Consider the following 12,847-nt stretch of genomic DNA (forward strand, 5'->3'; position numbering starts at 1 on the left):
CAGCCTCCACCTCCCAGGTTCCAGTGATTCTCCTGCCTCAGCCTCCTCAGTAGGTGAGATTACAGGCGTGCACCACCACGCCTGGCTAATTTTTGTATTTTTAGTCGAGATGGGGTTTCACAATGTTAGCCATGCTGGTCTCAATCTCCTGATCTCAGGCGATCCACCTGCCTTGGCCTCCCAAAGTGCTGGAATTACAGGATTACCCTGCCCAAAATCCCCTTTGCCATCATGGGTCTAGTACATGGTGATGGCTTAAGGTAAGCATCTGTTAGTCTGACTAAATTCTATGCTCAAACCACAAAGACATCAGGCACCAAGGAGTTAACACTCCTAGGAGTAGCCCATAGCCAGTAACTGATATAAATTGGTTGATAATTACCCCAGCTTCTTTACTCTTGCCAATGGGGGTAACCTGCTCATTTACATACTGTGTGTTGGTTACTTTCTCTTACTAGTTTCATTTTATTTTATTTTTAAAAATATTTTATTTATTTATTTATTTGAGACAGAGTCTCACTCTATCACCAGGCTGGAGTGCAATGGCACGATCTTGGCTCACTGCAACCTCCGCCTCCCGGGTTCAAGCAATTCTCCTGCCTCAGCCTCCCAAGTAGCTGGGATTACAAGCACCTACCACCACACCCAGCTAATTTTTGTATTTTTAGTAGGGACAGGGTTTCGCCATGTTGGCTAGGCTGGTCTTGAACTTCTGATCTCAGGTGATCCACCCGCCTCAGCTTCCCAAAGTGCTGGGATTATAGGCGTGAGCCACCACGCCTGGCCAGGGCACCGTTTCTTAAATGTTAAAGACAATTCAATCATATGTAAACTAAAAGCTTCAAAATACATTTTGGAACATTTATTACAATGTTACTAATAATCATTCATTATAATGTGATAGAAAACACATTTGAATATTAAGAACAATGAGGCATGTTTTCATTCCATAAAATATTAAAATGATCTGTCTACTTTAAGAGTGTATTCATTTAGTCCACCCCTATGGAGAACCAGGTCTTTGTATAAATCACTTCTTCAAATCCATGAAAACTGTATGAGTCATTTCACCAAATCCAGTAAGTTTTTCATCATAAACCACACTTTATTAACACTAAAACTTGAAGGCCTACATAGTAATCATGTAAACACTCACTATTACTGCTAACTACTGCTTGCTTAGAACCGCCTAAATAGCCTATCACCATGGCCCTTGGTTGTTTAAAAATAAAGTTCCTTAACAATTTTTTTTAACAGAAATAACCCTTGGCTTCTAAAATTCCATAACAATATTAGATGTATCATATGCATTATTTAAAAAATTTAATCAAGAAAAATAAACTCTTGAGTATCTAAAGAAGCTGTAAATTTTTACTTACATATTCAGGTTTTAGTTTTTTATCTCCTCCTCTCACAGCCACCTTTTCTAGTTTATCTATAATGGGCCCAATCATTTCCTCATCTTTAAGCTGAAGCTCTTCATGTATTATTTCTATATCTCGAATAGGATCTACACTTCCTTCAACGTGCGTGATATCATCATCTTCAAAAGCACCTAAAATGAATTAAAGGGAAGCAATTCAATAAACAAATAATACAGCGTGTTCATTATGATAGAGTGAAAGATTCCTAGAAGGTTAACAAATAAATATAATAAATAAATTACTCTGGCTTCTTGGCAAGTAGGATATAGCATTTTTCCCCCATTTAGTAATACTGAGGCTACTGGCAATAAAACTATAGTTCAAGAGCCTCCATATTTCAAAAATTGATTTAAATAAATAAAATTATGGTCTTTACAAAAACAAAATTATGTTCTAGAACTACTGGCATTTCCAAGTTTGGTAAATTAAAAGATACTGAATTCCAGGCATGAAAGATTGAAGTTCTAAACTGCACTATTAGGGTTTCCAAGGGAAACCAGATTTAGGGAGGGGGGGTCTGAAATCATCTGGCAGACCTCTTCCCTGCTTCAATCTACTTTATCACTGTGGTTCTGACGGTGATTAGATAATGAACCACTCAGACACACAATTTACACAGCAGCTAATTTCATCGGCCTGATTTGAGGGTATGGTTTTTAGGGGGCTATCAAAGAAGCAGATGAAGGTGCATTTGTCATATATGAGTGACAACCATTCACACTATCTGAACAAAATGATGCTGGCCCTTATTAGAAACACATGCTATTATCACATATTTAAAGTGCAGTTGAAGCCATAATTTCAAATTGCCAACTGGAAACATAAGGGTAAAACAACCAGATATTACTGAAGCATGTGTACTGACTTTATGCCCTTTTGAAGACATAATGTGGCAACATAATTCAACTGGGATTTACTCAAATTACCAGATAAAGAATAGTATCATAAAAAATGAACAAATACTAAGAAATATTACAAACAGAAAGCAATGATATATCCACCAAACAATACACACATTTATAAACAAATTAATTTCATTAAAACTACCAATTAGATTATAGTCCCAAAATGAGATGTTTTCAAACATAAAGTATCAATTATTTTAGACAGAGGTATCAAAAAAATCATGAGAGTTTGATTGAGTTTGGTAAGAGAAACAGTGAACACAGCTCATTCTTAAATACCAAAAACCAAGATACTCTTGATACAAGTTATAAATTGTTTTTAAATATAATTTCCCAGAATTAAAAATAATTAAGTTGTATCTAAATGTGGATTATTCAGTAACAATAAAACATAAATATACTATTACAATTAAAGTATAGGTATGTAAAGCAATATTTAAGTTTTTTGCATACAAATAATATACTATTTAATGTCAAATTCATATGAGCAAAATTAGCAGAAATGAGGAGCTATATTATGTTTTACTAACAAACACAATAGACAGTGGTTTAGGTAAATTTTTTGAATCTTTGAAAATATGAAGGAAATCTCCCTAAAAGCACAATATTATTTACTTCTTGTCAAGATTTGAGGCATCTTATGCAAATAGCATGATAAAATAGGAAAATAAAAATGGAAGCTTCCTGGCAGTCAAGCAACACAAATAACACTGTAACTTACAGGAGTGACTAAGCTTTCTGTGACACTCAGAATGAAAAATATCCTATATAGTTGTCTCTATGTAGGGTCCAAAGACTAACCATAGTGATGTCCTCAACAACATCCCTACAGTAAATGCATTAGCAGGTTTTAAATGGCAATTCTTAATTACAACCCCCAATTTTAACCAAGTGGATAATAGAGAGAAACTTAGTAACTGCAATTCTTCTGAAAGCAAAGAAAACAAAGCCCTCTGATGATCTAAAAGAATCCAAAGAAAAAAAGAGAATAAAGGAGGAAGGGGAAGAAATCATGTGTCTATCTTGCAACCTTCAAATTATCTTTTAGGTTGGGTGTGGTGGCTCACACCTGTAATCCCAGCACTTTGGGTGGCCAAGGTGGGAGGATCACTTGAGCCCAGGAGTCTAAGACCTGGGCAACAAGGCAAGATCCTGTCTCTACAAGAAATTTTTAAAAAATATAGTCGGGCATGGTGGTATGCGCTTATACTCTTGGCTACTGGGGAGGCTAAGGTAGGAGGACTGCTTCAGGTCAGGAGTGAGCTGTAACAAGCCATGATCATGCCACTACACTCTAGCCTGGGCAACAGAGCAAGACCTTGTCGAGCAAGACCTTGTCAAGCAAAAACAAAAACCTACCAAAAAAAACCAAATTATTTTCTAGATTGTACCTTACCTAGACTCTGCCAAGGACTAGCCTAGGAAAGGAGTTATGACTGTATCATCACTAATCTATTCCCCCTACTATAAGAAAAAAACTCAAGCCACAGACCTTACATATGCTGGTGGCACTGTTGCTCCCTGCCCCAAGGTTAGTATTATTGTTATATTCCTTTGTATTGTGAGGTGGTAACATACCATAAGTAGAATTTAAATTTATTTCTGAAAAAAAATTGTCAAATATTAAGATAAAAATTAAGTAATGGGAACACTAAGGCTATCCTGTCAAATGGAATACCCTAGAACGGGCCTAGAACACCCATAAACTAAAAGCTTCCATAAAATTTGGTGGCCATTTGGGTAACTTCTCATTTCTTAGAGCTGAAAAATTGGAGATTCTTTTCCAAAGACATGCTTCTGGGTCAACGAACTTCATCATACACTTATGTCATAGCATTTTTTTTGCATCTTGCCTTCTTTAGTACAAGATTTAATGCTTAAGAATATAGTCTTTGAGGCCCGGCATGGTGGCTCACACCTGTAATCCTAACACTTTGGGAGGCTGAGGCAGGAGGATCGCCTGAGCTCAGGAGTTTGAGATCAGCCTAGGCAACATTGTGAGACCTTGTCCCTAAATAAAAAAATTAGCCACGCATGGTGGTGCACGCCTGTGGTCTCAGCTACTTGGAGATCTGAGGTGGGAGACTGCTTGAACCCGGGAGGTTGAGGCTGCAGTGAGCTGTGATCACGCTGGGCGACAGAGTAAGACCCTGTTTAAAAAAAAAAAAAAAAAAAAAATATATATATATATATATATATATATATATAATCACGGAATATATATATTCCGTGAACTCAGAAAGGTTTGCTGATCATAGAATCTTAGACAAATTACCTAACCTCTATAGATCTTATCTTCACATCTTTAAAATGAGGATGCTTCTACCTCTCAGAGAATGCATATGATTAAATCAGATAATATATGTCAAGTGTTCAGCAGAGAGCCCAACACACAAAATTCTTTCAGTGATTGGGGAATATACTATTTTTTTATAATGTAGGAATTACTAATTTAGAAGAATTCCTCAGCAATATACTCAAAACATTAATTTTGAGTAATATAGTTTCAAGCTATTCAATTCACCTTGGAAAGAATTAAAATAAACAGAGTTTCTAGGGTTTTTTTTCCCCCAGAAATTCTCACTAGTTCACTAGCACACTTTTACCCTAGTCCATGGCCTAAGTTATTTCAACTTCACATGAACTAAAATAGCATTTAGTTTTAGTGCACTGGTAAATTCAGAGGACAGACTACACTACATTACACTGCAACGCTCGATGAGAAAGTTACTTTTATTACAATTCTCTTTCAATTTGTCTATGTCAAGAAGGTCTCAGTTTAATGCTGTTGGTCTTTAATGTTTATCTTTTTCTCAACAGAGCAAGCCTTAGTCTCAGAGCTTCTAAAGAGTAAAAAAAATTAAAAACTGCAATTTTCATTGTATTTATTTTTATTAGCTTCAATTTTGACATGTGATACTAATTTTCCACTTACATTAGTGACAAAGTTCCCTGTTTAAATAAATTTAGCCAAAAATGTGAGTAATTATGTATAAAGTAACAATCATATATTCTGGTAAAATAACTCCTATCAAGAGAAATGCCTGAAAATACTAACTATAATCATATTGATGATGATAGGATATGATACAGTTTTTGTGAAATTTATTTTTGGTGCCAGTCTACATAAAATAGGGCAATATGATAGAGCACGTATGTGTGTGCTGAGAAGAGTGAGGAGTTGTGCAATACTTCAGCTAGGATAGGCAGGAAGAGCTCTCTGAGATGACATCTGAGCCAAACGGCCAGAGGGAGGCAGTAATGTGAGGATCTGAGGGAAGAGGGTTCTTCTAAGTATAAAAGCCTAAAAATAGCAATAAATTTGAAGTGCTTCAGAAAGAAATATGGTCAGTATAGGTGAACCATGGCAGGGGATGGAAGATAAAGAGTTTAAGGTGGAGAGGTAAAGCAGTTCACATACATTTGTAAACCATGAGAGTTTGGATTTATTCTAGCTGTAATGGGAAGTCTGGATATTGACTGGATAGTTTTAAACAAAGGGAAGGCAGGGTGATAAGATAAGACTTATGATTTAAAGAGGACACTTTAGCTACTTTAAAAAGAACAGATTCCAAGAGAGGAGGCAAGAATGACTGCAGACAAAGTTAGGAGGTGGCTTTAGTGGTGCCAATGAGTGATAACCAGATAAGTGGTACTCAAGACTGTGGAGAACAAGAGGAGCGTTTGTACTAGGACTATATTTTAGAGATAGGCTAGATGTAGGATGTAAGATCATGAATGAAGATATAAAATTGACAGTTATCAAATGTGTTTAAAGTAACAAATCTGAGTGACATCACCTAGAGAGAGCACTCCAACACTCAGATGACTGAGGGAGGAGAAGAACTTGGCAAGAGACTGAGAAGGACTGACCTAAAGTCAGAGAAAAACTAGGAGTATGCTCTTATGAGAGCGAGGGAAAAAAATGTTTCAAGAAGGAAGGTGTATTCAACCGTCAGATACTATTTAGAGATAAAGACAGATAAAATTTCTTATAACTCAAGAGTCCAAAAGAGCTAAATTTTAGCTTTTCTAAATTCACTGAATTTTGAGAACATTTCCTCTTTCTATAAGCGCACTAATTATATAAAGTAAGAAACCCTAAGATTTCCTACAGTCTGTGAAAGTGATCCTATCAGTCAAGAAGGTGGCCTACTTAGAAATCATAGCCACTTTCAAAGGCTCACATTCCAAATAAAATGGCATAAATAAACACCAAAATAAAAAGTATACTTGACCAACTGCAGGATGGTCAACCAACTGACACCACACATACCATCAAGAGCAGCAGAAGAAAACTACACTCATACAAGCATTAAAATCAAGTCACACATTTTCAAGTTGTGTGACTGAACAGCAACAACAAAAAAGGCCAGGTGCGGTGGCTCACCCCTGTAATCCCAGCACTTTGGGAGGCCGAGGTGGGCGGATCACCTGAGGTCAGGAGTTCGAGACCAGCCTGACCGACATGGAGAAAACACATCTCTACTAAAAATACAAAACTAGCCGGGCATGGTGGTGCATGCCTGTAATGCCCAGCTACTCAGGAGACTGAGGCAGGAGAATTGCTTGAACCCGGGAGGCAGAGGTTGCGGTGAGCCGAGATCGTGCCACTGCACTCCAGCCTGGGCAACGAGAGCGAAACTCCGTCTCAAAAAAAAGAAAAAGAAAAAAAATCAAGTCCACCTAAGGCTTCAGAATTCTCTCTTATGGCCTAAAGGATCATTTAAGAACCTATCTTTTGTAAAAATAAAAACATAAAAAAACCATACTTGAGGTTCAGTAATTTCTTCTGTATTATTTCTTTTTCTTTCAAACTCAAAATAAAATTTAGTAGTCTATTTGAAATAGCACATACACTACATGATCACATTTGTATAAAGTCATTTCTCTCTCTTAATGACACCGACCAAATGCTAATGAGAATTTCTGGGAAGTGAGCTACTGAGTAATTTTTTAAAAACTTCTTCATCAGTTTTGTCTCATTTAAACTTTTTATAATAAACATGCATTGTTTATAGAAAAACAAGTCTTTTTTATTGTTTGTTTGTTTATTTATTTATTTTTGAGACAGAGTCTTGCTCTGTCGCTCAGGCTGGAGTGTAGTGGTGGGATCTCAGCTCACTGCAATCTCCACCTCCCAGGTTCAAGCAATTCTAGTGCCTCAGCCTCCTGAATAGCTGGGATTTCAGGTGCGTGCCACCATGTGTGGCTTTTCTGTACTTTCAGTAGACGGGGTTTTGCCATGTTGGCCAGGCTGGTCTTGAATTCTGGCCTCAAGTGGTCTGCCTGCCTGGCCTTTTTAAGTCACTTTTTAAAAAAACAAAATAGGCCGGGCGTGGTGGCTCACGCCTGTAACCCCAGCACTTTGGGAGGCCGAGGCGGGCAGATAACCTGAGGTCAGGAGTTCTAGACCAGCTTGGCCAATGTGGTGAAACCCCATCTCTAATAAAAATATAAATAATTAGCCAGGCTTGGTGGCATGCGCCTGTGGTCCCAGCTACTTGGGGGTGCTGAGGCAGGAGCACTGCTTGAACCTGGGAGGTGGAGGTTGCAGTGAGCCAAGACGGTGCCACTGTACTCCAGCCGGAGCGACAAGAGTGAGACTACATCTCAAATAAACAAAACAAAACAAAAAACACAATAAACAAGTTTAATTTGCACAAGGAGAAATACTCACATAATGCGTAACTAAAATGTTAACTATGGTAAACTCTCATTTAAAAAACTATTTGTTACAGAAAAAAAATTAACCATAATAGGCTTAAGCTGGATTCTATCACAGAGATTTCTTACCCAGCAATCCTACAGTGTTTCCTTTCACAACAAAGTACTCTTTTCAAACCTTCTTGACTTCCCTCACATTTCTAGTGCTTTCTAGTTCTCCCCTGCTACCTTAACCTTCCCCACTTCACAGGGAAATGCATGTCATTTCTGGAGAGCCAACCCCCTTTTTGTTGTTACCTAACTAACTTTTCCTTCTTCCCAGCAGTAAAATAGACAACATCACCCCTTCTACTATTTCTGGTTAGTCTCCCTCCCATCTCTGTGCTGGATATTAGCCCCTCCCAAGGAAGTTTGCACCATAGATTGTTGCTTCTATTTCCTCAGACCTCAATCTATTACACCTCTCTCCTGTATTTGTATCTCCTCCATTTCCACTAACACTTTCTCATCAACATTTAAGCATGCTTAAGATTCTGCATTAAATCAATCATGTCATTCACCCTGGACGTTAATTTCTCCTCTAGTTATTGCTTTCATTCCTCCAGTTCAGAGCCAAGCTTCTTGAAGGAGCTGTCTACATGTGCTCTCTCCACTTTTTCCGCCTATTTACAACTCAACCCACTATAGTCTGACATATGCCAGCACCAAGCTAACAAACTGATCTTAGAAAGGACATCAGTGATTTGCCTTAATGATTTTAAATCTAACAGCCATTCTATAGGAATCTTGAATGCCCACTCAGTAGCACCTAACTTCAGAGCACTGAAATAGTAGTCTCTTTCATTGCTTCTTTCTAACTGCATTCTCCTGATTTTCTTTTATTTTCTCTGGTCATTTCTTTTCTTGTTATAACTTCCCCATATATGTTGATGTCTTTCTTAGCTCTCTTCTCTTACCCCTCTATTACACTTTCACTAACAGAATCTCCAACTCAGAACTCCCCTGAGTGGCTCCAATATACTCTGAGGCAGTATCAAATGAAATAAACCAAAAAATATTTTTAGTTAGTTATATAAACCGTTTCTAATATAAAATCTATTCACTAAGTGAATAAACGCAAAATGTCAATGCTTACTCTAAAATTATGACTTTTCTAATTTCTGTACCTCCCTTACTGAGGTCCACTCAAAACAGATATTTACGTGGTGAGATACATTTGACTATTCCTGTGGTACTGGACATTCTGCATGCTACTTATTTATTGGTATGATTTGGCAGAAATGATGAGTTGGCTCTTTTCAATGATTATAAATGGACTGAAGATTAATCAGTTTGCTCATTCACTCAAGGCCTGTTCTTACTCCATAAAGATGTGAGTAAAAAGGATAAATCTACACTCTGTTTAGGATGCTGAATCTAACCTGAAGGACTTCAGAAACAAAAATATACTTTGGAAATTCAGGACTTCAGTGAACCACTTTCCTATATTACTACATAAACTTGGGTTGCATTCAGTTTCTAGAGTAAAGAATCCCTAGATAGACATAGAAATACATGATGTATTGAAGAGTAGAGGCTTCATTCACAGCAATACTTATAAACCATCTGTCATAGAAAACCTGGGCTATAGTTTCAATGTGTTCCGCGAAAGTTCATGTGTTGGAAACTTGATCTCCAATGCAGCAGTGTTGAGAAGTGGGATCTCTGGGAAGTGACTGGGTCATGAGGGCTCTGCCCCCACAATGGATTAAGCCATTCATGGATTTTTGGGTTATCAAGGGGGTGGGCTACTTATCACCAGAGTGGGTTTGTTATAAAAAGTTCGGCCATCTCTTATGAGCTCCACCACCATATGATGGCCTGTGCTGTGCTGCCTTGGGACTCTACAGAAAGTCCCCACTAGCAAGAAGACCCTCACCAGCTGCAGCCCGCTGAGCTTGTACTTTCCAGGCTCCATGATTGTAAGAAATAAGTTTCTTTTCTTTATAAATTACTCAGTCTCAGGTATTCAGTTACAGCAAGAGAAAACATATTAAGATACCTTGATATTCCACATAGCATGTCTAGAGTTTTCTTGGGAATAAGAGGGTATGTAATCAAAATAGACCTATCTGACTTATGCTTTTTCCATATTCTACCACTATACAATACAGAGACACAGAATTCCTTGGTATATAAACCAATGCATAAACTGCCACCCTTTCAACACATATGCAAACTACAATATGCCTTGTTAAATATAAGTTTTCCAATTGGAGAAAGCCTCCTTATATACCCAACAATGTGCTAAGTCTGTGAGAATTAAAATCAAAAGTCAAAATAAAAGGATCTTGATCTCAGTAACTGGACAATCTGGTTAGGAAACAAATTTAACCTATTAAAAAGGGAGAGCAATATTCACTAGCAAAGACTTTAAATCTAAGCATAATTAATAACAGGTAGCAGCAAGGCCTTTAAAAATAGAAAAAATTAGAATAGGTTAAGAAGAAGAAGAAAGGCATGACAAGCAACAGGAGAAAGCATCAGATAAAAAATAAAATTTGAAATGAACAAAGCTTACTGGAGAGTTGATCACAGTGAGAAATTGTGTTGAAGAGTAGAAGATGATAAAAGGTGGGCATGGAGGATAGGGAAGTCCAAATATCAGGGTAAGTCTGGAGCTCATCTTCTAGTCATAGGGAGCCAATCATGAGTCTTACATGAATGAGTAATACAGAAAGCAGCATTTTAGAAAGACTAACCAGAAGTAAAGAACCAGCTAAAAGGGAATCGCTGTTCTCTACATACGATCAGAAGAACGGCATTAGAATTCTGATGGGACACATGAAAACAGGATGAACAGTGCAAATTAACTCAAGAAAACGATGTCAACCAGATAACCACTCTTCTAAAATGCAAACTTCAGAAAAAGAGAAATAAAATTATTACACAAATATATGGTCATATCAAATCACAGCACCAAAACAAACTATATGCTACATTATTTTACATTGCTTTCCAGTTTGTCCTACGCGTTAACAGTAAATGTTTTGAGTATTTATATTCTAATCCAGAGTCCCACCACAATCATTCAGAGGTTAGGGGCCAGATTCCTAAACCAATAGAAGATCAATTATTAAATACAATGTTAGAAATCAAGACAAGAATATACTGCTAAAAAAAAAACTTTATGTTTTCAAATTTCCAATCCATTCTTCAAAACAAAGTATTACCTTATGTCAGAACTCTGGTTCCCAACTCCCTTATAGTTCTCTAGCTCATTAATATTTCAAGAGAAGGGAGAGAGCTAAACATGCATTGGCAATTCATTTAATATCTATAGTTTTATTAATAAACACTGGAAAATACAAACTCCTATTTATTTTCCATAAATGACATGACAAAAATTCTTTATTGCATTGGGGTGCGAGTGGGGATGTGAACGGGACGAGGGACGAGGTATAAAACTAGTTATTGCACACTCCAAAAGCTCTGATTTGAAAATATAGTTTAAGCCCTGGTTTACAGAAACACTTTAAAACTCTAGTCTTAATCTAGCTAAAGCTCCTTACCATCTTGGCAACAAAAGCAATTTGAGCAATTTGAGCAAAACCATAATCTAATTTAACCTAAAGCTTGTAATATGTATCTTTGCATTAAGTAAGATGTGTAGTTTTAATTACTTTCCTTAAGTTAGAAAGTAGGGCCCAGTGCAGTGGCTCACGCCTGTAATCCCAGCACTTTGGGAGGCCTAGGTGGGCAGATCACCTAAGGTCAGGAGTTCGAGACCAGCCTGGCCAACATAGTGAAACCCTGTCTTTACTAAAAATACAAAATTAGCCGGGCATGGTGGTGCCTGTAGTACCAGCTACTCAGGAGGCTGAGGCAGGAGAATTGTTTGAACCTGGGGAGGTGGAGGTTGTAGTGGGTGGAGATTGGGCCACTGCACTCCAGCCTGGGTGACAGAGTAAGACTCCGTCTCAAAAAATAAAAATAAAAAAAAGTTAAAAAGTGGGAGAAGAGCATCTCAATTTATTATATTCACTTCAAAAATCAATTTGCCTTTCTTAAAACAAGGCAAATTTTGGAATACACAAAATAACTAATAGCACATTCTGCTAACAAGATTCCACTCAAAAAGATGTAGGTTTACGTTTCTAGCCTTCAGAGTTTGAAACAAATGAAAAGAGTCGTATTAATCAGTGAATATATATTTAGATCTCTGGAGAAACAAAATATTTTGTAAATATATAAAAATGGAAATAATTGGTCTAGTAATGTAAACTGTTAATTACTTGATGCAAAAGCATAATGGAATAGTATAACTGGAATTGGTGGGTTGTACTGATTTACAATAAGATATCAATCAAAAGTAACTCTTAAGTCTTTAATATTTGTTTTCCAGGGAAAAGTCTATTAAAATAGATATAACAAAGGCCATAAAATAATCCAGTCTGTGCTAGTCTAATTGTTTAATGCTGGAATAGAAAACAGAACTACAAGTAGCCAGAAGAATGTGCTTTTGCTTTGCTTCTCTCCCCTCTCCTCTTCCTTCCTCCTCTCTCATTACAGGAAACAGCTCTAAAACTCAATCTAGACCAAGAGGAATAAAACTACCATCCCTTTGACACATTCAAAAGTTGATTAAGTTTTCAAAAAGCTTAGTAAAATAAAAGGCATATGTAGCTGACTTTGAGGGACTAGTCTAAAATTAAAGAAATTATAAATGATTCCTACAGGACTTTCACGCAAAGTAAACTTACATGGGAGCAATCAAGCAAGGCTGTAAGTAAAAATAATTCCAAACCTTGAGATAAACAGATATTTAGCATAGGAGAGAATAATAAAGTGGGTCAATTCAGTTCTGAGAAA

The 12,847-nt window shown here is 37.1% G+C and overlaps 1 protein-coding gene across 3 annotated transcripts in view; it reads right to left on the reverse strand.

Annotated features, from left to right (window-relative positions):
• OLA1 (Obg like ATPase 1) overlaps positions 1 to 12,847 on the reverse strand; it is a 176,086-nt gene that overhangs the window by 67,999 nt on the left and 95,240 nt on the right. For all 3 annotated transcript variants that reach the window (NM_001011708.3, NM_001328688.2, NM_013341.5), the window contains one exon: positions 1,380 to 1,555. In NM_001011708.3, coding sequence (NP_001011708.1) covers positions 1,380 to 1,454 — 75 coding nt within the window. In that variant the 5' untranslated portion in view covers positions 1,455 to 1,555. The remainder of the gene's footprint in view (positions 1 to 1,379; positions 1,556 to 12,847) is intronic.

Source organism: Homo sapiens, chromosome 2 (genome assembly GCF_000001405.40).
Source record: "Homo sapiens chromosome 2, GRCh38.p14 Primary Assembly".
NCBI lineage: Eukaryota > Metazoa > Chordata > Mammalia > Primates > Hominidae > Homo > Homo sapiens.